Here is a 25,862-nt window from a genome sequence, read left to right as displayed (position 1 = left end):
CCAAAAGAACAAAGTTGGAGGCATCACGCTACCTGACTTCAAACTATACTACAAGGCTGCAGTAACCAAAACAGCATGGTACTGGTACCAAAACAGAGATATAGACCAATGGAATAGAACAGAGCCCTCAGAAATAATGCCGCATATCTACAACTATCTGATCTTTGACAAACCTGACAAAAACAAGCAATGGGGAAAGGATTCCCTATTTAATAAATGGTGCTGGGAAAACTGGCTAGCCATATGTAGAAAGCTGAAACTGGATCCCTTCCTTACACCTTATACAAAAATTAATTCAAGATGGATTAAAGACTTAAATGTTAGACCTAAAACCATAAAAACCCTGGAAGAAAACCTAGGCAATACCATTCAGGACATAGGCATGGGCAAGGACTTCATGTCTAAAACACCAAAAGCAATGGCAACAAAAGACAAAATTGACCAATGGGATCTAATTAAACTAAAGAGCTTCTGCACAGCAAAAGAAACTACCATCAGAGTGAACAGGCAACTGACAGAATGGGAGAAAATTTTTGCAACCTACTCATCTGACAAAGGGCTAATATCCAGAATCTACAATGAACTCAAACAAATTTACAAGAAAAAAACAACCCCATCAAAAAGTGGGTGAAGGATATGAACAGACACTTCTCAAAAGAAGACATTTACGCAGCCAACAGACACATGAAAAAGTGCTCATCATCACTGGCCATCAGAGAAATGCAAATCAAAACCACAATGAGATATCATCTCACACCAGTTAGAATGGTGATCATTAAAAAGTCAGGAAACAACAGGTGCTGGAGAGGATGTGGAGAAATAGGAACACTTTTACACTGTTGGTGGGACTGTAAACTAGTTCAACCATTGTGGAAGTCAGTGTGGCGATTCCTCAGGGATCTAGAACTAGGAATACCATTTGACCCAGCCATCCCATTACTGGGTATATACCCAAAAGATTATAAATCATGCTGCTATAAAGACACATGCACACGTATGTTTATTGGGGCACTATTCACAATAGCAAAGACTTGGAACCAACCTAAATGTCCAACAATGATAGACTGGATTAAGAAAATGTGGCACATATACACCATGGAATACTATGCAGCCATAAAAAATGATGAGTTCATGTCCTTTGTAGGGACATGGATGAAACTGGAAACCATCATTCTCAGCAAACTATTGCAAGGACAAAAAACCAAACACTGCATGTTCTCACTCATAGGTGGAATTGAACAATGAGAACACATGGACACAGGAAGGGGAACATCACACACTGGGGACTGTTGTGGGTGTAGGGAGGGGGGAGGGATAGCATTAGGAGATATGCCTTCCAAATTTTCTATAGTCCTTGATGATGCTAAATTTTCATCACTCTTCAAACCCTATTTTTGGATAACACTTCTTTAAAATGAAACCACAAACCAATACAGACCCCCAAAGCTGTCTGTGCTCTGAGAACAGGTTCTTCCACTACCAAAGCACTCATCTGATGCTACTCCAGTGGCTTGTGTCACCACTGGTCATGTCTACTGAACTCTAAGCTCCCTGAGGGCAGAGTCTGTCTGTCATATTTCGAGTTGATCCATGAGGCCTAGCTTGGCGAATGGCCTCTATCAATTGCTCAGTAAATATTTGTTGAATGACTAAGGATGATTGCATTTAATGTTTAAAGGTGTTCTCTGGCCAGATAAAATGTATAAAGTAGGAAAAGACATTTTACATACTGTACAACACCTTTGCTTGGGCTAATTCTTCTGGGGAACTAATAGTTCACTTAGTAACCCCATCTCTGGTTCAAATCTGATGAATTGCCTATGCTTACTTGCCTTATATTGTAAGTGATCATCAAGATACATGGAATACTGTTGAGATATGGAGAAGAATGAGGTTAAGTCTTTTTGTGCTACATAGAATTGGAAAACAAAACATGCTGCAGCACAGTGTGTGCGCGTGTGTGTGTCTGATGCTAGAATAAATCAGAGAGAATACTCAACAAGCTGTTATTGAAGAGCAGAGAATGGGTAAAAACTGATTACTCTACATTTTACTAATTACAGCATTTTTACCAAACACAAAATTTAATATTAAAGATTAAAATACAAAGTGGCAATATAATAAATTGCTAATAAATTTGTATACACCACTTAACTACAACCTAAAAAGAAAAAGAGGGAAAAACAAAAACCACAAACTTAAAACAAAGAAACCCAAAATATGATCTGCCTACTGGAAGAAATAGAAGTAGGAAAGTGGCTCAAAAAGTTGTTCGTGGATGAACAACTAAGATCTCCTTCCTGGAGAACTAAGGGCAGGGCCATTAAATTAGACATTTCGTGATCTCTAAATAGAACTGAGAGGAGATTCAAAGAAATGCAAAATAACAGCTATAGAGCATTATGGAGTCTTTGGCCTGAAAGAATTTTTCAGATTTTGATGGTCCAACTGCTGTCATTTACTTCTGTGTGTGTGTGTGTGGATGGGGGTGTGTGCGTGCATGTGTGTGGGTGTATGTGTGATTGCTTTGGCTTGAGTTTTGGTAAGAAATTACATATCATGTCTTTTAAGATTATTTTTAGATATATTTCTCTTTTTCACCACACATACACACACACACACACAGAGACACACACACACTTTTTATTTTCTGCTTCTGACAACTAGCTCAATGCAGGGGATGCATTGTCCTGCCACTGCTTCAGTAAATGTGACAGGTATCCTGTGTTCTCAGCAACTGCTGCAGGATTCTCTGGCATCTGCACTTTGGCTGGAGTTGGCTACAACCATCCTTGGAGGATGAGGAGAAGGAAGGAAGAGAGGGAAAGCGCATAAGACTGGGCCACCTGTCCACCTTCTCCAACCCTCACCATTGCTCGAGGCTCTCTTAATCCATTTATGAGGAGGTAAGTACAGAAAAAAAGACAGATGAGCTTATGGCTGACTCAGGCCTGAAATCCTTGCCTTGGATAATGGGAAGAAGGCCATCTTTTTGAAAGAGAAGATCAGGAATATTTCAGTTACAATACTCTCCTGACACATTTTCACCATTCCAAACTCCACCCAGTGTTCTACAGGACTATTTATGAAACTTTTAAAATCTTGACCTAGGCTAGGCATGGTGGCTCACGACTTTAATTCCAGCACTTTGGGAGGTTGAGGCGAGCAGATCACTCGAGCTCAAGAGTTTGAGACCAGCCTGGCCAACATGGCAAAACCCCATCTCTAATAAAAATACAAAAAATTATCCAGGTGTGGTGGCGTGTGCCTGTAGTCCCAGCTACTCGGGAGGCTGAAGGGGGAGAATCACCTGAGCTCACGGAGTCAAGGCTGCAGTGAGCCGGGATTGCACTGCTGAACTCCAGCCTGGGCAACAGAGTGAGACCCTGTTTCAAAAAATAAATAGATAAATAAATAAAAATAATTTTTAAAGAATTTTAAAAATTAAAAAAATCTTGACTTACCATAATAATTTACATTTTACATCATAGTACATGGATCACATACACATAAGATTTATATGTATACATAAATAAATAAATATATATAACTAAAAACTTTCATGAAACAATACCTTTACTACGGTATAATAAAAATAATATAAAATATCTTTGGTATGAAAAAGATAATATAAAATATGATTTTGCTAAGAACCTGATGCAATCTGATGTATGCTATTCTTTTTTTGTTTTAGAAAAAGGAAGTTGGTTCCAACCCGCTAAGTTGATTTTCAATCCACTAGTGGGTCATGCTTGAAAACCACTACTTTCAGGTTTTCTCTGATTTTTTACAGCAATTCCATATGGGGTATTTGCTTTGATTCCTCATTTAGCTCCCTTCTTTGGGCCACTGAATCTTGTCATATGTGCATTGATTTTGCCGCATTTGCTCAGCCCTACTCAAGAGGTCTGTGCTTACTCAGATTCGGGAGCTGGGATGAGTTCTGAAATTCCTCGTTGGAATCTTTCATATGCCGATGCCAGACTGCAGAAAGGGCTTAGATTTCCTGTGGCTTTTCTTTGCCAGGTGAGAGGTGCAGTGAGCAGCAGGGAAGGTGCACCATTCCCCAGCATCCAAGTTCTCAGGGGAGCCTTGAACCTTTGGAAGGGATGTTTGTAGGTGACCGCCTCCTATTGGCTGAGCAAGGTAGCCATGTCTTAGCTGCTGTAACTGTCCACTGGAGGAGCATTTCCATCCCAGCTGCACATGCCAAGACTCAGCCAGGGGCAAGACCGATGGAGATCTCCACGCGGGATCCCAGCATCGGGTCACTGTCCAGCATTACCAGTTGCTCCCACTCAAAGCAAACCTCTCCTCCAGCATCTCCAGATGTGGCAAGAACAGCGCCTCCCTCCTGATGGGCTCCGCCCTTCCACCCAACGTCCTTCACATCCACCTGAGACATCCACTGAGACTTCTCAGTGTTTCTGGCACACACTGAGCAACACTGTCTAGTTTACAAGACTGACATAGATTCGTCCTTATTTCAACAGGAATTCAAAAGAAGAACTTGAAGTAAATTCCTGATTTCAAGCTGCCTTCCTAGTTAACCACAACTCCAAGTTCTTGGAACTATTTGTTTATTTTGCCCCATGCCTATTTTCTCCCCGTGTTTATGAGCATATTGCTATTCACAATGAATTGCTTTTTAATAGCAAAACGTAACCTATATATGAAAATGTATTACCAATTCAAATGCACAATAAAAAATATGTATTTTATATATATATATATATATATATATATATATTTTTTTTTTTTGAGATGGAGTCTCCCTCTGTCACCCAGGCTGGAGTGCAGTGGCATGATCTCGGCTCACTGCAGTCTCCGCCTCCCGGGTTCAAGCAATTCTCCTGCCTCAGCCTCTTGAGTAGCTGGGATTACAGGCATGTGCCTCCACGCCTGGCTAATTTTTGTATTTTTAGTAGAAACAGGGTTTCACCATGTTGGCCAGCCTGGTCAGGAACTCCTGACCTCAAGTGATCCGCCCGCCTCGGCCTCTCAAATTGCTGGGATTACAGGCGTGAGCCACTGTACCTGGCCAGTAGATTTCAATTCAAAGTGTACCTCCCTCCCTCTCACTCCTATACCCCTGGGCCACTGCTGGGAACCAGAAAGGGGGAGGGGTTGACAAAAGGGCAGGTCTCAAGGTCCTGGTCTGCCTCTGCCAAAATAATTCTGCCTTAACTGATTATACATGAGTTTTCATGATAGATTTTAATTCTAAAAAGGTTTCCATGAATACAAACAATTAGAAAATAATAATTCTATAGTCAATTGCATCCAACAGAGATTATTTTTTAACCCTATGGATATATGACCATCTTTGTGTTGAGGAAACTCAAGTATTTATTGAGGCATGCCACAAAGCCAGTGAGAGCATGGATTTTGGAGTCAAGCTGGGTTTGGGTCCTGGGAACGTCTAGCTGAGTGGTCCTGTGCAAGCCTCCTCACCTCTCGGTTTGGGGATATACTCCCTAAGCTCCAGGTTGTTGTAAGGTTTAAATTAAATGAGGTATGTGAATATTTTAGCTTGGTGCCTGGGGCTTGAAGAGTGGCCAGGAAATGGTTGGGGTACTAAGTTTTATTTAAAAGACTCACTGGGGATTGAATAAATGAGCAGTAGAGGCTTCAAGGGTCTGACCCACCTGACGGCTCATGCCCACGTCATATCTGCAGCAGGGGAGGTGCCTTCTACTGTGCTCGTAAATGTTGACCATCACTTAACTTCAGGGTAAAGAAGGAGAACAGAGGAGGAAAAAGGCTGAACGGTCTTCTCCTTCCGGGGGAAACTGGAGAAATAGGAAGGGGAGCCACAGAGACGGCAGCTCCCAGGCTGCTTCCAGGAACCCAGTGGGAGCTTGAACTGGCCTCCTGGGACAAAGGGGTCGTCTTTGTATGGCTCAGCCTGAAGTGGGAGGATTTCACCTGATAAGGGCAGGAGGAGAAGATGCTTCCCTGTATTCCACAGGGAACCTCTATTCTTATGCTGTTACCTCATTCTCCAGCTACAGAAAGCAAACTTGCTATGGACCAAAAAAGAAAAAAACAAACAAACAAAAAACAAAAACAAAAAAACACCAATCCTGGGACCTACCAATGCAGGAATTAGTCACGGGACCCTTATCAAAAAGCAAGCAGAGTGAACACTTTTCCCATGGTCAATCTGCAGAGATGCCCACCCGCTGTGCCCACTTTGGAGAAAAGGAGTCTGGCCAGGCAGCAGAGAAGCCCCCATCAGGTGCCCCGTGGCCTTTCTCTCTCCTGCTGCCTTCCTTTCCTCCACCTCCTTCCACACCCCATTGCCAAGGATGAGACGAGGCTGAAAAGTCAGAAATCTCAGGACCAAATTCTCCCCGTGCTGCAGAGCCAGGTCAAGCGATATCCCTCTGCCCGCTCTGGCCTTCTGAAGCTGCTTCCTCCTGTACCTAACTGTGACATGGTGACACAGAGATTCCTACCAACACAATCCTGGCTTCTGCTCCTGCCCCTGACCCCAGCACCACTTCCAAATATGAAGTTACGTCCTAGCAACCAAGACCCTCCCCATTCAGGTCAGAGAGGCCAGCTTCCTCCCTCCGGTAACGGCCACCTGGACAGAGCAGCTGCCTGACAGACATTCACTCACCTGGTGCCCACCTACCTCCCTATGCACAGTCCCCCGGGGCTGCCATCTCCCTTGCTCCTCTCTCCATCTGCCCAGCAGGGATTGCAGCACCACTTATTCCCGGACAGCCTGTGGCCCAGGCCTGGGTCAGAGCCGGCAAGGATTGAGAAATGGACGCTCAGTTCTCAGACGGAGGCCGGCCTTTGAGTCAGATCCCAGGCTCCGATAGTTGAGATGCCGTGAGTAGGACACAATATTCACCACCTGCTCTGGACAGGTGACTCAGGACAAATGTGTCCCACCTGGCATGGATTTGCTCGAAGACTCCTGATCTGAGCCATCTGACTGCTCCACGTGAAAAGGCTTGATCCAAAAAGGGGGGCTGCCAGTGCTGAGAAGCTCAGCCTCAGAACAAGGTCCACCATCTGCTGGGCTGGCCGGCAACACCCAGGAGGCAAACCCAGTGCAGAGCCACAGAACCACAGTGAGGTTCCTTGGTCCAGCCCAGTTGCCCCTGCCTTCTTTGGACAACACAGAAATGACTAGGAGAGCCGAAAGGTAGCAGACATGACTCGGTGCCTGCAATGTGCCTGGCACGCTGCTAGGAGCTTTCTATAAACCTCATCACATGCTGGAAGCTGTGGCACGTGCCTATAATCCCAGCTACTCAGGAGGCTGAGGCAGAAGGATCACTTGAGCCGGGGGATTCAAGACAAGCCCGGGCAAACCATAGCAAGAACTCCTCTCAAATTATATAAAAATTTAATAAAAAGAGGAAAAAAGTCATCACATACAATCCTGCCATCAATCTGGTAAATATATCACCTGCTTTGCAGACAAAGAAAGCCACTGCACAAACGTTCATTAAACACCTACTACGTGCCGTGGAATTTCCCCAAGGTCACACAGTTAGCAAGTTAGCAAGTCAAAATCCACCTGTCTCCAAAGCCCAGGCTTTTTCCATAGCATTTCATTTCTTGTCTGTGCCACCCTTTCCCAAAAACAACAGACTGGCTCTCAGAAGCTTATGTAACTCAGTGGTCCTCAAGCCAGCTGCATCAGCAGCATCTGCTAGAAATGCAAGTTCTCAGGCCCTGGCCTAGACCTCCTGAAGCAGCACCTCTGGCACTCTGTTTTCACAAAGCCTCCAGGTGATTTTGGTGCGTGCTCAGGTGCGAGAGCCCATGACCTAACGTATACAGAGCATGTTGAAAACTGCAGCATAAAAGAATGGGGCACTTTTGTGTGTGTCCTGTTGGCATTAGTGTCATGAGACCAGAGTGCCTTTCCCCCACGTAGCCCCTTGGAGAATCTAATCATAAGGTGGCATTTAATCCATCTGCCCCGCAAAGAGCATCCCACACATCTCTCCTAAGCTCAGTCTCTGTGAGCCCTGTGTACATGCTAGGCTGAGGTTTTTGTATGGACCTCTCTTCTAAAGAATGGAATGTTTCCCAACGCTCAGCACCAAATGTTTCAGGGCTTCCTGGGGGCTTTAATGAGGGTGTAGGTGCAACCTGTAGGAAGCCCTTGAAATTCCATGCAAGGCTGCAAAGATCTAGCCGCTGCTGCTGGAGAACACAGGCCCACGGTCCCAAGGGAAGCACGGGAGGAGGGAGCACTCTGGGGATAAAGCTGCCTTTGTCAGCAGGCACAGGGGACATTGTAGGGCTGAGTCTGGAGTGAGTCTGGAGTGCAGTGAAGGAATTTCTAAATTGCAGAGAGTGAGCGCCTCTGTCAGTGTCGCCTGCTCAGCTCACACCCACAATCTCTCTCACAATGGCCTGGGTGCGGTGGGGCCAGGACAGACTCAGGCCCCACTTCCATCTTGCTCTGGCAGAGAGGCTGAGGAGCAATTCAGCACCCCAGGGCTATGGGGGCTGGCCTTGCCCTTCTTGGATCCTGAGGCCTGGGAGGGCCCCACAGCCCCCCTCCTCCACTAAGTCTAAGCTCTCTCTTGTCATCGGCACCTGAATCCAGTTCCCGCCTCTCCCTCTATTTTCCGAAGATCTGTTCTTTCTCACTCTCAGAAGGTAAATTTATTCCAAAGTGTAGTTGAGACTTGGCCCTGATTTTTCCTAATACGGGGTGGTTTGTGCTTCAAGGTGGAAATTTTATCACCCCTCTGCCCTTCAGGACATCCTGCAGAAAGAGTCTCCACCCTGCCCAACACTCCATAGTCCAGCTCACTGCAAGCCAGAAGAGACGGGGAGGAAGACGCAGGTGAGAGAGCCCCGCCCTGGTTAGAACTAGGAAGTTCAAGCACCACTTGAAGCTCAACCAAGAGCTTCCTGTGTGATCTTGGTCATTCACAGCCTTAGTTTGCTACGATGAAAATTAGATGAAATTAATTGTCTGCCAGATGAAATTAGAAACTTCTACTGCACAGTGTTACTGAGAGAATGAGGCAATAGAGGAGGAAGCATGCTGCCAACAGCTAACCAAGCAGAAGCCTGCTCACCTTTTTGGCCCTTCCAGCCCACGGAACTGAGAAATCTGTTCAACAAGTGATTCTGATGCTTGCTAAAGTTTCATAATCAATAACCTGTATTTCCTTCTAATTCTCCTATTTTTTAATTACAAAATTTTATTTCCAAAAGTAAATTTTTAATTACAAAAATTTTAATTACAAAATTAAAATTATAAATTTTGAAAAATTAATTTAAAAAATTTTAATTTTAAAAATTCTAATTTAATTTTTAAAAATTAAAATTACAATTACAAATTTAAATTTAATTTAAAAAATTAAAATTACAAAAATTTTTAATTTCAAAATTTTAGTTATAAAAGTAATACATGTTTGTTGTGGCAAGTAAACATATTCAGAAGGCAAAAAGAAAGTGTGTCCTTAAAATGACACAACAGGGTCATCTCCTATTCTGTTCAAACAATGGCAAAATAAAGAGCTTAGGGTCAGAGCAATAAGCCCCAGCTTCTGTACTAAGCGGCTCTGTCAACTGCAAGTCCTTTTACCTTACTGAGTCTCAGTTTCCATGTCCACAAAATGGAAACAATAACCCAATAATCTGACAGGGCTGCTCAGAGGTCTGAGCAAAGAGCTGTCCTGCAATCTATAAAATGCCTTGGGAATTCTTTATGCTGTACACTTTTGGTCATGCGAACTGTATTATCATGAGCAGAATATAATTTAACAATTTTAACTAGTAATGTAACAATTTTAACTAGTAATGTAACATGACGCAGAATATAATTTAACAATTTTAACTAGTAATGTAACAATTTTAACTAGTAATGTAATGTTACTAGTAATGTAACCTGACAGTAATGGACATGATGATAATAAATTCTCTCTGCATTTAGCACTTTCAACTTAGACAGAATGTTGAGGCCAAAACTTGATGATTTTATTGTACGTCCCCACTTACGGATGCAAACACTGAGACTCAGAGAAGTTACATGTCCAAAAAGTGCACGTCCAAGGCTGTGCAGTCAGAAGCCATTGGTCCCTTGATTCCCGCTCCCCGGCTCTCTTCCCCTCTTTCCCTGGCCCACAGCAACATATAGATTCAAACCAAGGGTTTTAACTTCATACGAAAATTCTAGCTGACTTCCATGTAGACCATGCTGCCCTCTCTCTGGCCTTTTTTTCTTTCAAACTGTCCATCAGGCTTGCATCCTTTCAAAGTAATATTCCATCACTAAGATACTTACAATCACGACAAGCAACTGAAGCCAGTCCACAAGCAAATATACCACGCACATGCCAACAACTCCCAAATTCACTTCTCCAGGCCTGGACTTCTCCTTGAATTCTGACTCTTTTTTCCTACCACTTGCTTAACATCTTCAGCTGGGGTTTAACTTAAATTTCAAAAGTAACATTGCCTGGCTGTTATTCAGTGAGGCAAAAAAAAGGAACACTGCCAACAGTACTCTTGATTCCCCCCCTAATAAAATGTTTCTTCCCTAAACTTCCACATTTTGGTAATTGTCACTAGCATCCATCAATTTCCCAAGCCAAAATCCTCAGTATCAAGGTGGGAAGAACATAGCACAGGCTCTGAAGCCAAAATTCCTGGGTTCATCTCGCAGGTCTGTCCCTGCCCAAGTGCATGATCATAGGCAGGCAAAAAGGCACTTCTCTGTGGACTGGTTTTGTCATCTATAGGCTGGCTAGTGCACTAACATCCACCTCACAAGGTTTGTTTGGGCTAAATATGGTAATACTTGTAAGGTTCTTAGAACAGTGCCTGCCAGAATAAGCCCTCTGTGAGTTTTTATTCATCTTGATCCCTCCATCTCTCTAACCTTCCACATCACATCCAATTTATCAGTGATTCTCGTTGGCTCTATCCCCAGAAGCTATCCCACTTTCTTTCCGCTTCTCTCCATCTTCACTGCCGCCACCCTCCTCTTACCAGTGCCTCTTGTCTGATTATAGCTTTCACCTTCTAACTGGGATTCTGGTTCCTATGCAGACCTTCATAATCCATTTTTCACATAATAGCAGGTAGGCTTTTTGAAAATATAAATTGGATCAGCATAAAATTTGCAAGGGCTTTGAATTACTTTTAAAAACTGTTTTTTGTTTGTTTGTTTGTTTTTGAGACAGCATCTTGCTCTGTGGCCCAGGCTGCAGGGTAGTGGTATGATCATAGCTAACTGCAGCCTTAAACTCCTGGCTCAAGCAATCCTCCAGCCTCAGCCTCCCGAGTAGCTAGGACAACAAGCACATGCCACCACATTTGGCTATTTTTTCTTTTTTCTTTTTTTTTGTAGAGACACGGTCTCTCTGTGTTGCCCAGGCTGGTCTTGAACTCCTGGCCTCAAGCAGTCCTCCTTCCTTGGCCTCCCAAAGTGCTGGGATTATAGGCATGAGCCACTGCACCCAACCACTTTTTTAAAAATTTAATAAACTTTATTGTTCTGAGCAGTTTTAGCTTTACAGAAATATTGCATAGAAAGTACAGAACTCCCGAATACTGATCTCCCTCTCCACACACACAATTTCCCATACTATTAACATCTTGCATTGGCGTGGTACCTTTTTACAATTGATAAATCAATACTGATACATGATTATTAGCTAAAGTTCATGGCTTACGTGATGGTTCACCCATTGTGTTGTGCAGTTCTATGGGTTCTGACAAGTGCATAGCGTTATGGATCTACCACTGTAGTATCAGACAGAGAGATATATTTACTGCCCCAAAAATGCCCTGTGCTCCACCCCTTCCAAAGGCTTTGCGTTGTTTTCCAAAATAATACCCAAATTCCTTACAGTGTCCCAAAGGAGCTAAATGATCTCACCCTTGTTTATCTCCCAAACTCCAGCTTCCACCTCTGCCTCTCCTGCTCGCTGCATCCCACAGCCACCCTGGCCTTCTGGCTCTTTCTTGAATAAGCCATGCCCTTGTCACCCTAAGACTTCTGCCCTAGCTGTTTTCTCTTACAGGAAAGTTCCACTTCCAGATCTTCATATGGCTGGCTCTTCCCTGACTCCATCTCCTAAGTGGGATCTTTCTTGACCACTCAACCTAAACCAGGCACTCACCGTTACCTCTCCTTATTTTATTTTCTTCATAGAACTTGCCAGCATTTGAAGCTGTCTTGTTAGTCTGCTTGGGTACTTACATACCACCCATCCGCCCCATCTAGGTCCCACACAGGGACCTCATCAGCCTGTTCACTGTGGGGTCCCCAGCACTAGAGCATGCCTGGCCCATAAAGGGTTGATAAACATTTACTGAGTGAATCAATGCATAAATGAATGAATAAATGACTAATGCCATGTAATGAGTTTCTACATTTGTTTGTAGTTTTCAGTTTACAAAGAGCTCTTCCAGACATTTCCTTAGCGTAATTTATGTGATTAGGCCCAGGTTTAAATGGAACTTAAAAAACATATTCACAGTATCTCTCTTAGCTCCTAGAAGCCACAGATTAGGAAACAGAATGTTCTCTCCAAGGGAAGAGAGTTTAGTTCCAAGAGCATTCATGACCCTCCGGTTATGACAAGAAGAATCACTTGGTTTAATTCATGGCTCTAAAACAAATAAAAAGTACTCAGAGATATAGAACCTTGGCTGATTAATAACAGCAACAACAAGCATTTGTGCAGCACTTGCTGTGGGCCAGTGTGGAGGCTGAGGCAACTCCATCTTGGGTGCTAATCCCCCATGTTGGATTCTGATTAACTCCAGTTCCAGGAAAGTCTCGTAAGGTTTCTAGTCTATCTACTGTTCCTTGTATAAGAGCATGTACTTATCCTACCCTTAGGTCAAAACAATCTTGATGTTATTGTACTTACCATAAATCCTGACCTTGAGCAATCACCCTACCCATTCCTTCTGAAGCACTGTACCCTTCTCCTATGATATATAAACCCTGGGTCTGGGGTGTAATTGTGGGGATTCACCATCTTGTCTCGCCGTCCTAGACACAGACATGGCTTCTGGACATAAGTCCCTATTCAACATTTCTTTCTAAGAAACTGGATTTTTCAGCTTCTTTCTTTGGCCCCTCAACTTCCTCAGCCTTTGGGGGTAGGTTTGCATAGGCCTGCTCACCATGGAACAGCTAGACACAAGGCTAAGTACCATCCACACAGTATCCAGCTCCACAATTCACTTGGAGGGTTGGTACCATAATGATTTCCCCTTTTTCTTATAAGAAAGGGAGGAAGAGACATCACAGGGAGTAAAACAACTCAAAGCCCAAAGTACAGAGCCAGGATGTTAACCCAGGATTATCTGACAACAAAATCCAGTCAGTTCTTGTCCTTGTAACAAAAGCTGAGTAAGTAAACATTGCCGTGCTGAGCATCTGTAGATTCCTACCCATCCCCTTCAGCCCTATCACATGGGTGGGCTTAGAAAGGGTTAAACGCCACACTGGGAGGGAGTGGTCAGTGCCTGGGTGGTGCTATTTTTAAGGCCAATATTAGGATGGTTTGCACAGCACCACCTGGCAACAAGAAAAGGCCAGGTATTAATGAGTGACACACCCGGGGGAGAAGGGGGAGAATGTTTCCACTCAGCAAGACTTTGGCAGGAACCATGTGTTCAGTTTGGGGTCTTGCCTTTTACAAGGGTGTGGAGGCAGTTGAGTCCCTCGTCTTTTCTGGCTGTCACAGAATGTCCGAGATGCCCTGGCCAGGGGCCCTGGCCTGCGTGGCTTCAGACAGGACAAGGGTGGAGTTCGAGGTGGATGGTGCCCAGCTGTGCAAAGCAGTTATTTGTCCCACGCTTTCAGTCTTTCTGCCCACACAAGTATCTGAGGAACGCCGCTTCCTGCCTTGCATCAGAAAGCAACATTTTTAAAGATTAAGAAATCCCTACTTTCTTCTCTTAATTTGTTGTTGTCATGACATGACTGACTCAATAAGTAAAAATTTTAAATCCCTGCCCAAGAACACAGGCTTGTCTCTCCGACGCTTGAAGTTCCTCCAGATGCTTCGTGCATCCTTCCACCTCCACATGTCAGCACACTCTGCCCTTTCTAAGCAAGAGCTTCAACAAGCCCTGCCTCCAGTGAACTCTTGTATGTTTTTCAAGGCTTGGCTCAGAATCACCTCCTCCAGGAAGACTTCCCTGACACCCCCTCCCAACTCACACATTAAATCACTTGACTGGTCGTAGTGGATCAGACCTGTAATCCTAACTCTTTGGGAGGCTGAGGTGGGAGAATCACTTGAGGCCAGGAGTTCAAGACCAGCCTGGGAAAGACCCTGTCTCTACAGCAAGACTCTGTCCCTACAAAAATAAAAATGAAAAATTAGCTTGGTATGGGCCAGGTGCAGTGGCTCATGCTTGTAATCCCAGCACTTTAGGAGACCAAGGCAGGTGGATCATTTGAGATCAGGAGTTGGACACAAGCTGGGTCAACATGGAGAAACCCTGTCTGTACTAAAAATACAAAACTTAGCCGGGCACGATGGCAGGCTCCTGTAATCCCAGCTACTCGGGAGGCTGAGGCAAAAGAATCGCTTGAACCCAGGAGGTGGAGGTTGCAGTGAGCCAAGATCGTGCCACTGCACTCCAGCCTGGGTGATGTAGTGAGACTCCGTCTCAAAAAAAAAAAAAAAAAAAAATTATCTTGGCATGGTGGCATGTGCCTATAGTCTCAGTTACTTAGGAGGCTGAGGCGGGAGGATTGCTTAAGCCCAGGCTTAAGCCAGGAGGTCAAGGCTGCAGTGAGCCTTGATCATACCACTGCACTCCTTGTTTCAATAAATAAGAAATAAATAAGGAGCTGCCCTTCTGTCCTCCCAAAGCACTCCATGCTGAGTTCTCTCATCCGTGTGTCTGCCTTACCAGTAAGAGAATAAAGCCTTGCTGCCAGGGGCTGTGCCATATCTTTCTTTGTAGCCCTGGTATTGAGCATAGTACCTGACACAAACTGGATGCTAAGTAGCTGTGAGAGGAAGGGATGAGAAGAGGAAGAGAAAGAAGAAAAAAAGGCCGGGAGGAAGAAGGGCAAAGGAAGGAGGGAAAGAGGGATTCTTTGTGATCAGATGCATAGACACAGAGACAATATAGACACATCAACACATGGATCTAACCTGTTACAGGCATACGTATGCACGTGCACACCCTAGTCACAGGAGGGGTTTGCATTGAAAAGAGCACTGGTCCAGGAGTCCAGCAGCCTGAGTACCTATCCCCTGGGCTGCTGCTGACTAGTGTCTGACCTGAGGGAAGCCAGTCCTCTTTCTGAGCATCAGCTTCCTCATCTGTAAAATGGGTTATTATAAGACTTATACAGAACGCTCTCACTGCCTGAAATACAGTGGACGTTCAACACGTACCAGCTCTGCCTTCCCTCAGCTCCATCTCGCCCGCAGTGCTCCACACACCCTCTGCAATGGGAAGAAAAGAACAGCAGTGTGCAAGAGCCAGAAATGCCTGTGTCTATACCCTCCCCCTCTCCACCTCATAACAACATAGCGATTCAGACGGCTGAAAGCACATCTGCCCGACACTACCTGCAATCTATTTTGTGCTGTTTTTGTATTCATCTTGCTAGCGAAAGGTACATGCATTGCCTCCAATGCCCATTCTAGTCTGGACTGCAGCAGGAAATATGAGGACAACTCTAGTGGGAACAGCTTGGCACCCATCACTGGGCCTTAGGGTCCATGGGGGCTCAGGTGAGGCCCTCAGGATAAACAAGGACATACAAAGCCTCAATACAGTGCTCACCACCCATGGGGCCCCTGCTCCATCTCCTCTTCCCTGGCCTGTTTCTAACCTCACTGTCAGAACCCAAAACTGCAACCCTAATCCCAAGCCCAGAGATAGCCAGGACCACTCTCCGTACCTTGTTGCCCTTTAGCCCAGAATAACCCATGGCTTGGTGCTGCTTTCTTATCCCAGAACCCCCAGCCAAAGTCTGCACTTGAACTCATCATGAGGTCTGCTCACCACAACTGGGGGCCTTTGCAGGCAAAGGTTCTGCCCCCACGGTCAAAGGAGGACAAAGCAGGTGCCATACTTTATTTAATCAGGTCTTTAAAGTTAGCAACAAGTTGTGTATTATCAGCAAAAATTGAAAGCAACTGAGAAGGGCACAAAAGAGCTTTATGGGGTGATCATGATGGTAATTTTTTTGGGTGGGGGTGAACAAAGTCTTACTGTCACTCAGGCGGGAATGCAGTGATACAATCATAGTTCACTGCAAACTCAACCTCCCAGACTCAAGCAACCCTCCTGCCTCGGCCTTCCAAGTACCTGGGATTACAGGTGTGCACCGTCACACCCAGCAAATTTTTAATTTTTTTAGAGATGGGGTCTTGCTATGTTGCACAGACTGGTCTTGAACTCCTGGGCATCAGCCATCTCCCTACTCAGCCTACAAAAGTGTAGCGATTACGGATGTGAGCCACTGCATCCAGCCAGTGATGATAACATTTTATGCCTTGCTAGGGGTGTGCTTTACACTGGGATATACACTTTTCACAATGAACTGAACAGTGCACTTAAGATACATACATTTCACTGTATGTAAATCTTACCTGAAAGAACAACAGTAAACAAATATTGAAAGTTAGATGTATGATGAAGTCAAGTTCCACCCTGGAAGGTTCGCCAGTGTAAGTAAGTGCACACACATAGTCTGCCTCCAAAGGGAGATCACCTATATCCTCACCCTACTTTCTACTAGAGAGGAAGCCAGGGGGGCTACTTTGGGCCCTCAGGTACTCTTTATTTAATCCCCAACTTATTTGGAAATGCATTCAAAAATGAGATGGATAGCCAGGCATGGTGGCTCACTCTTGTAATCTCAGCACTTTAGGATGCTGAGGCAGGGAGGATCACTTGGGGACAGGAGTTCGAGGCTCCCCTGGGCAACATAGTAAGACTTCATCTCTATATTTAAAAAAGAAAAAAATGAAAAAAAAAGATGGATGCATGGATGGACAGAGGGATGGAGAGATGGATAGATGTGATAAAGCAAATATACTAAAATGTTATTTGTAGAATCTAGATAGTGGACATAGGTATGTTGACTACAATTCTTTCCTCTTTTCCATATGTTTGAAAATATTTATGATGATATTTTGGAAAACATAAAATTGAAAGCAAGCCAAGATGTCCATAATTGGGGAATGGTTAAATAAATTACTGCACAGGCATCTGATCTGTTTTTCTGAGGTTGGTAAGACTGGTGGTTCAGATAACTTTGTCGGAACTGAGAAGTTATCCACAACCCAATGTCGAGTGGAAGCATCAGCATGTGAGCAGTATGGATATGTAGAAAGCTCACCGTGCTTTTTCAGCTGCATACTGCTTACTAAGAGTACAGGCTTTAGGATGGAATAGACCCGCCTGTGTTCAAATCTGTCCTGCCACTCACCACCTGGTTAAACTCCCTGTGTCTTGTTTTGGTTCACCTGAGAAGTAAAGACAACAGCATGTACCCCACAGTGCTGTAGGTAAAAATAAAAAATAAAAATAAAAATAAAGCGCTGTAGGTAAGATCAAATGAGTCAGTGCTCATGCAGGTTGATCCTAAATCAATGCCTGGTGCTGAAAGCACTCAGGAAGAGGGAGCTGCTGGTATTACTGAGGGCTTTCCAGGGTTCAGGGCGAGGCCTCTGGTAGTGAGGGATGCACACTGAGGGGTTGGCTGCCAGATGTGGGGAACAGAGACAACTGGCTGATACACAGGCAAAACCTTGCCCCACCAGCAAAAAGATCTTATTCCCTTAGCTAACAAGTCACCATAATTTGTTTAAGATGCTGCAAGAAAAACAGACTGGATGGATGTACACTTAAAAAACTCACAGTGGCTAGGTTAAGCTGGTAAGATTTAAAACACTTTCTTTTCCCATCCCTATTCTACAATTCGCCCATTTGCTTCTCCATCTCTGCCCCAGTGTAACTCCCACACACCCTTCAGAAAACAACTCAAATAGCACCTCCTCAGGGAAGCCCCACGCTGATCTGCCAGACTAGGCCAGTTCCCTGTTACAGCCTCCCATAGAACTTAACCCTCTTTGCCGTTATATTTATGTGTGTACAGTTGTTTGTTTAATGTGTCCCATTAGATCCCCAGAGCCCAGCACAGTGCTTGAAGCCTAGAATACTCTAAATAAATAATTTGTTGAAAATAAATTCCAGGCTGGGCACAGTGGCTCACCAGCCTGAGCAACATAGGAAGACTCCATCTCTACAAAAAAATAAAATTTAGCCAGGCATGGTGGCACGCTCCTGTAGTCTCAGCTACTAAGGAGGGTGAGGTGGGAGAACTACTTGAACCCAGGAGGTTGAGGCCATAGTGAGCCATGATCATGCCACTGCACTCTAGCCTGGGCGACAGATGAGATCCTGTCAAAAAAAAAAAAAGGAAAAGAAAAGAAAAAAAGCAATGAAAATGAATTCCAAGTGTTTGGGAAAGTGATTTCACTCTTTGTATATTGAAAAGTAAATAGGAAATTAGGAGGAGACGGAGAGTAATAAAACTATATCCATGCTTGTCCCGGGCAACATTACATAGCTCTTAACTATCAAAGACATATGGCAGTGTGTCATGTGGTTTTACTTTTTTTATTGGAGAGACGTTGGGGGGATGGTGGGGGAAGGTGTGCAGCAGAATCCTCCTCAAACCCTACGCCCCACCCTCCAGCCCTATGCAGAGCCTCCCTCTGCTTCCCACAGGCCCAGCCCCTCCTTGCTGACAGGGGCCAAGTCCCAAGGATCCCCAGGTGACTCGATTCCTATTTCCCAGCAGAAGGAGTCAAGGCACCTATGGTGGAGACCACAGGACCCAACTATTATTGAGGACACATCCAACCACCATGACCACATGCTCAGAATCTGCACATGTGAAATAGCAGAGCTGGAGTGTTTTTAGAGGCCATGTCTAGTCCAACACCCTTCCATCCACTTTATAGACAGGGACACTGAGTCCCAGATATGGAAAGGGGCTTATCCAAAGGCACACTTCTATGCAAGGATTTAACTGGACAGGTGTCCCTGCATGTGAATGCCCAATCTTCTAACAGCCTAACTCAGAGAAAGAAGGCACTGTGTCAAATGTATTGAGTAGTTGATGGGGCATCGCCCGGATAAGCTCCTCACCCCTGGACCGAGGTGTTCATTCCCACAGCTGACATAAGTGTTGCCTGTGACAACTCACAACTGAGTCCCTCTCGGGAAACTGCCTTCAGCCAAAGACAGTTGCCTCACCCAAGGTTATGCCTGGATTCCAGGGGCAGCCCACAAGCAATGACTGGTCACTGCAGGGATACAAAACCCCATAAGATCCCCTGGATCCGCTGAGGCCAGTGTTGCAACTGCATCACAGCCCAACTTCTCCATCTGTCTGGTTCTGTCTCCCTCACCCCACGCTGGTGTTGTTCCCAGAGCACACACCAATGAACTTCCTATGCGCAAATCTCTGTCTCACCATCTGTTACCAGGGAAACCCAACCAAAGGCAGTGCAGCCAGGGTAGGAAGTGGTAAGACCTCCCTGTGAATCAGAGTGAATAAAATGGTTTCACCAAACACGGAGCACCTAGTAAACACCAGGTCAAGTCCCACCCTCGAAGATCCCCAGTGGAAGTAAATGCATCCATGTCATCTGCCTCCAAAGGGAGGCCGCCTGAATGCTCACCCTACTTTCTGCTATACGAAGAGCCAGGGCTACTTTGGGCCCTCAAGCACTCTTTTCTTCATCCTCAAGCCTGTATATCTATGATGGTTGCTGTGAGAGAAGAGGGGAGCAGCCTGCTTAGGAGAGCTGACATATCCTCTGAATACGTACATGCCATTTGGGTCATTTCACACACTTTATCTTAGTTATTGTTTCTGCCGTCCTCTGAGGTAAGAATTTATGACCACCGTTTTGCAAAGGAGGAAAGTGAGCCTTTGAATGCCTTTTCCAAGATCAAGGAGCCTGTTACCCTCAGAGCCAAGATTCCATCCCAGGTGGCCACGCCCCATGGCCCAGGTTCTTATTCCCTACACCCCACTGCCTTTCTTCAGACTTCAGCGGATGCCTTAATGCAACCTAAGCAAGTAGATGCCAGGGTTCTAGCCATATCTTTCTGTAGCTAGAAAAGTCAGAATATGCCTTTGACTTGCTTACTTCTCCTTTTTAAGGAAAACCATGTGTTTACTCTCTTATGCCAAAGTTGCAACAGAGCTGAAGTTTCGCCAGTGTTAACTTTAAAAGTTGGGCAGAAGGGTTAAAACGTTCTGCCCTGATGCCTGTTTATGTTTCCAGAGCAAAAGAAGAAGATTTTAATAAGAAATGCTCTCATCTGTTGGGCTGTACCTGCAGGAAGGTAGGGGATCTGGATGGAGGCCCCTCCCAGTTCTCAGATCTGCTCCAGAGACCAGCACTCCGTTCACTTCTCCCGGAGCTGAGCAGCTCCCTCTTCTGTTCTGCTTCTGCTGAAACTGGAGCGGAACTGGTGGGGACCCTGACAGCTAGCGTTTTAGACACTGATGCCTCTGCCCCTTGAAGAGGAAGCCGGGGCACATGGAAAACCATTGCCCTGGCCAGGGTTCACTCTCCTCCCCTGTGGGGGTCCTGCAATTGCCCTTCCCGAACTCTCTGCCAAGCACTTGGTGAGCACTCAGCCAGCCTCTGCAAAGACAGGCATTGTGTCCTATTGTAGCACACGTGTGCACACACTTACACGTGTGCACACACACTCACACGTGTGCACACACACACTCACTCATATACTACACAGTGGGACCAAAACCATGCTTCCATTCCCCTGGGAGGATGTCAGGAAGGGTCCACCCCTCCATTCCAACCTCCCCTGAGTCCCCTGGGATAGGAGAAGGAGCTCCACTCACCGTTCTGCCTTCTCGGGAAGACTCTCTTCTGCAAACTCATTGCACAGGGTTTGAGGGAGGGAGAGAGAGCTGTGAAAAGTTCCTCCAAACCAGGATCAGGGGTCCATGGGAGGATCGATGGCAGCTTCTCGGCTGGGAGTATTTGAATATGAGTTAAAACTACAAAGTAACTCCTCGTTAGAACTGTTTTTTCCTCGGCAGGGAGGGAGAAAAAAAAAATCCCTTTCCCTCTGCCAGAAAATCTTTAACGTTTCACAACGGTCGCTTCCAACTCCTGCCCTCCTTGAGAAGCAAATGTGTATAAAGGCAATGTTATTTCACTGAATCAAGCCCTCAGAGCATAAGCCTTTTCCTGTACCACAAACAGAAATGTAAAACCTCAAACTTTCCTTTGGACTTGGAGTCTGTTGTGAGAGGGCAGAACACAACCCTTTCTGAGGTCTAATGTATGGAAAATGTGCCGCACTGTTTAGATCATCGCAAGCACTTGAATCTCTGCCCCCCTCTTCTACTTTTTTTTTTTAATGAGTTCTGGTGTGTTTATGTAATTGCATGGGACAAACACTACACCTAAAATCCTTGCCCAAAGTTGAAGTGATTCATTTTCTCCTTCACACACACCACACACAAACACAGCGCCTGTTTAATCCAAGTGAAAACGCCTTTCATAAAATCTGCAAAGAGCTTGGGCAGAGAGACCCATGGTGAATGCAGCCTGTGTCCTGAGAAGGGCAACTGGGCTCGGGGGAAGGTGGAGGCTGACTTTAATCAAGACAAACAGAAGGCGCTCTGACTCCTGCCATGCCGGGACAAAAAAGGGATAAATGAAAAAGGGGCTTGGGCTCCGGGTAATGGTGCTATAAAACATTTTCAGCCTACTCTACCCAATTTCCTCCGCTTGCCTTCTCATACCAGGACATTTTATTTTTGGACTTGGACAAGATGTACTATTATTTAAAATGACCAATTTGACTGCTGGGTTAAATAAATCCTTGGATCACCATTGGAAAGACCAAAAGAATATACAGTGAGTGGGCAAACAAAACTGAAAACTGAGAAAGTAATATCCACCCCTCTGGTGGAAGAGTGTGATGATTTTCTGGACATAGCAATGTGAGACTGAATGGGAGGGAAAACCTGCTCTGTTTGATAGAGAGAAAAACTTACCAGGAAAGCAAGTGAGACAGATCCTGGTCTAGTCCCTGAGTTATCTGTCACCAGCCAAGGGCCCCAGGTCTTTCTGGGATGGGCCCCCTGCCGTGGTGCCTCTGGCCTCAATATCACTGCTACCACTCAGGGCTCCAAAGAGTCGTGGCCACTGGCATCACCATCACTCTGCTCAATCCACTGCCAAGACACTGTGACTCTCGTACTCCCTCTGCACCCCTCACCCCCATGCAAATATACTTTAGATAATCATTTCTCAAGGCAGTGCTACAGGTTGCCAGAGAAACTCTGCTATCAGCACCTGGAGTCAGAACAGCTCCCTGAGAGCCATCATCACCCCTGGGTGAGGGTGGGGACCCTACACTGGCACTTCCTGACCCTTCCTTACTCTGATTATTGAATGAACTGCCTAGGCTCTGAAACTGCAGGATGCTGCAGCTGTGCCAGGAGCACTGTGAGGGCCAGAAACTGGCCTTGCATTTTAGTCGTACCCAATGGCAGCAACAATAAGCAATAGGCTAGATAAATTCTGGGAGTACTCTGCAGATATTAAGATGATGTGAGGCCAGACACCGTGGCTCACACCTGTAATCTCAGCACTTTGGGAGGCCAAGGTGGGTGGATCACCTGGGGTCAGGAGTTCAAGACCAGCCTGGCCAACATGGCGAAACCCCATTTCTACTAAAAATACAAAAATTAGCCAGGTGTGGTGGCATGTGCCTGTAATCCCAGCTACTCGGGAGGCTGAGGCAGGAGAATTGCTTGAATCCAGGAGGTGGACATTGCAGTGAGCCAAGATCGTGCCACTGCACTCCAGCCTGGGTGACAAAGTGAGACTTTGTCTCAAAAAAAAAAAAAAAAGAAAGACAGAAAAGAAAAGAAATTAAGATGATGTGATAAAATAAGATGTATTGCCATAGAAAGATGTCTGCATTATATTATTAAGTGAATAAAACCGCTTACAAAAAAACATGGTGTAAATACGATCCACATACATGAAACAAGATCAGATCTGGAGAATAAAATTGAGTTTTTTATTTTTATTTTCACCATGAGCTTTTCAATATCCCTTTGGGCTTTTCACTTTCAATTCATGCCATCTATATGATTATTAAAAAAAAATAAGTCAAAGCATTGGCTTTAGAATTTCTAAATAGACTTTGTTAAATCAGTAGCAAAGACCATAATACTGAAAACCATGGTTCATAATGATATGAATCAAGCCTTTGACAAAAGTGTGATGGACAGAAAAATGGCTTCTCCAGAGATGTCCACATCCTGAACCTGGGAACCTGTGAATATGTGATGTTACATGACAAGGGAGGATAAGATTGCAGATGGAATTAAGGTTGCTAATCAGCTGACTTCGAAATAAAGGAATCATCCTGCATGATCCAGGCTGGCCTAGTGTAATCACAAGTATCCTTAAAAGTGGAAGGAACAGCTCGGCTCAGTGGCTCCTGCCTGTAATCCCAGCACTTTGAGAGGCCAAGGTGGGTAGATCACCTGAGGTCAGAAGTTCAAGACCAGCCTGACCAACATGGTGAAACCCCATCTCTACTAAAAATACAAAAATTAGCCAGGCATGGTGGCATGCACCTGCAATCCCAGCTACTCGGGAGGCTGAGGCAGGAGAATCTCTTGAACCCGGGAGGCGGACGTTGCAGTGAGCTGTGATCATGCCATTGCACTCCAGCCCAGGCAACAAGAGTGAAACTCCATCTCAAAAAAAAAAAAAAAAAAAAAAGTGGAAGGATCAGAGAACCAGATGCCTCAGCAGCTAATATAGTGAGGACGGTCCTGGACAAAGGAGAGACTGACAGGTGACATCTGTAGTGAATTCCAACAGAGAGGCAACTGCGAGTTGTGTGCACCTTCCAAACACAACAGCCCAGCAGGGAAAAGCCTGAATTGAGTGAGTAGTTACCCAGAGGAGACTGTGTTTTATATTAAGAGTGGAGGGAGGTAGAAGAGGAGGTCAGAGTCAGAGTGAGACTTGAAGATGCTCTGCTGCTGACTTTAAAGATGCAGGAAGGGACCATGAGCCAAGGGAATGCAGGTGGCCTCCAGAGGCTGAAAAAGCAAGGAAATGGATTATCCCTTCTAGCCTCCAGAAAGAAGTGCAATCCTGCTGTCACCTTGATTTTAGCCCAGGAAGACCCATGTTGGGCTTCTGACCTCCGGAAATGTAAGCTAATAACTTTGCCTTGTTTAAGCCACTAAACTTGTGTGGCTTATCCAGATAAATATATTTGATTTGTTTTTATTTTGTTTGTTTCTTTGATGCAAAAAGCTTGGCTTTGACTACAAAGAGAAAAGCCTGGAGGATGCAAAGCGCAAAATTTATGTCATTAACCACGAACTTGGGTAGAACATGAGATGCTATCTGAGCAGCTTTCTTCTTATCCAAAAGCAGATAAAAGTCTGCCCAGCTGAAGGGAGGGTGACGTTCAAAGGCCACAGGTTGGAGCCTGAGAGGGTCTCTGCCCACTCTGCTCCTTTCCGAAGTCGGCACCGAGAGATAGGGGCCATCCACACTGGAGAAAACTGCTCAGAGACCTGTATCCCACTCCCTGCCTGAGATTCTGGGAGAAAAGAGCCTCTTTGAGTGTGAGTCTACACAGAGTAGAAATATCCACCTGGGATATTTAGACAAAGATTCTGGGACACTCTCCCGAGTCTTCCTTTGGGGGTGGGAGTATAGCTGAAAGTTTCCTGTGCCTTGAAGAGGTACCCAGGATTGTCCTGATGTGCCAGCTGCCCCAGGGAGCTCTTGACAGTCAGACACAGAGGAAGCAGGATGACCTTCACGGATCAGAGAACCAGATGTCTCGGCAGCCCATGTGGTGAGGATGGGACCTCCCTGGACAAAGGAGAGGCTGACAGGTGACATCCGCAATGAATTCCAGCAGAGAGGCAACTGCGAGTTGTGTGCACCTTCCAAACACCACCATACTACACAGCAGCCCAGCAGGGAAAATCCTGAATTGAGTGAGTAGTTACCCAGAGGAGACTGTGTTTTAAGTTTAGAGTGACTAAATTTACTTTGAATTGACAAAATTAACTTTCCATCATCCACAACAATGGAGATTTAAGAGTCGACATTCAATCACATGGAAATAAATAAGGTTGCATGTTTGTACATAATTTTTTTTGTTAATAGCTTATTGGCTGTATGCCAATGTTTGAACAAAGATTATCTCAGGCTAGTGGGATTATTTATTTTTTCTGTATTTGCTAATTTATTTTTTGCCAAAAGAAACATGTTTGTTCCTTGACAAAAAGGGAGGAAATAGGGCCAGGTATGGTGGCTCATACCTGTAGTCCCAGCACTTTGGGAGGCGAAGGTGGGAGAATTGCTTGAACCCTGGGGTTTGAGACCAGCCTGGGCAATATAGCAAAACCCTGTCTCTTAAAAAAAAGTGTATATATATATTTATATATAAATATATATTATATATTACATATATTTTAAAACAGGGGGGAGGGGATATACATTTGTATAAAAATATGGGAAGCCCTAGTCTTTGGGAGGCCAGAACTATGCATTTATGAAGAGATTGTATTCTCAATGAGGAGGAGATCTTTGTTTTGTTCACCGATTTATCCCAAGTGCCTAGAACGATGTCTGGCACAGAGTAGATGCTCAACAAATATTTGTTGAATGACTTCCTCAAACAATTCACATGCCTCTACGACAACCTAGATGTCTAGTTTCCAGCGTTGATGACAAGCTTTTATCTTATTCTGTATGTTCCTAGGGACTTTGGTGGGAAGATCAGGAGGCTACATTGGGAATCACTAGCCAGAC

At 45.0% G+C, this 25,862-nt stretch overlaps 1 protein-coding gene across 15 annotated transcripts in view, besides 1 other annotated feature; it reads right to left on the bottom strand.

Annotated features, from left to right (window-relative positions):
• IL16 (interleukin 16) overlaps positions 1–21,069 on the bottom strand; it is a 131,347-nt gene extending 110,278 nt beyond the window's left edge. For 6 of the 15 annotated variants that reach the window (XM_047432447.1, XM_047432448.1, XM_047432451.1 and 3 more), the window contains exons 1-2: positions 20,885–21,069; positions 15,378–15,428 (exon numbers count right to left, since the gene is read on the bottom strand). In XM_047432447.1, the coding sequence (XP_047288403.1) occupies positions 15,378–15,428; positions 20,885–20,924 (91 nt within the window). In that variant the 5' untranslated portion in view covers positions 20,925–21,069. Of the gene's footprint in view, positions 1–3,310; positions 3,381–3,918; positions 4,306–6,628; positions 6,903–15,377; positions 15,429–20,884 lie in introns of those variants that run through there. The other 9 variants (NR_148035.2, NM_001352685.2, NM_001352684.2 and 6 more) reach the window with 5 other exon arrangements.
• Positions 13,049–14,248: an enhancer, noted in NCBI's record as "P300/CBP strongly-dependent group 1 enhancer chr15:81481874-81483073 (GRCh37/hg19 assembly coordinates)". NCBI's record gives its function as "activates an origin of replication core promoter dependent on BRD2, BRD4, P300/CBP, MED14 and CDK7 cofactors, with strong dependence on P300/CBP, by STARR-seq in HCT116 cells {active_cell/tissue: HCT116}" and the evidence as "EXISTENCE:reporter gene assay evidence [ECO:0000049][PMID:35650434]".

This window comes from Homo sapiens, chromosome 15 (assembly GCF_000001405.40).
Source record: "Homo sapiens chromosome 15, GRCh38.p14 Primary Assembly".
Taxonomy (NCBI): Eukaryota; Metazoa; Chordata; class Mammalia; order Primates; family Hominidae; genus Homo; species Homo sapiens.
The sequence above is the reverse complement of the archived record's forward strand: the minus strand, read 5'-3'. Positions and strand labels throughout refer to the sequence as shown.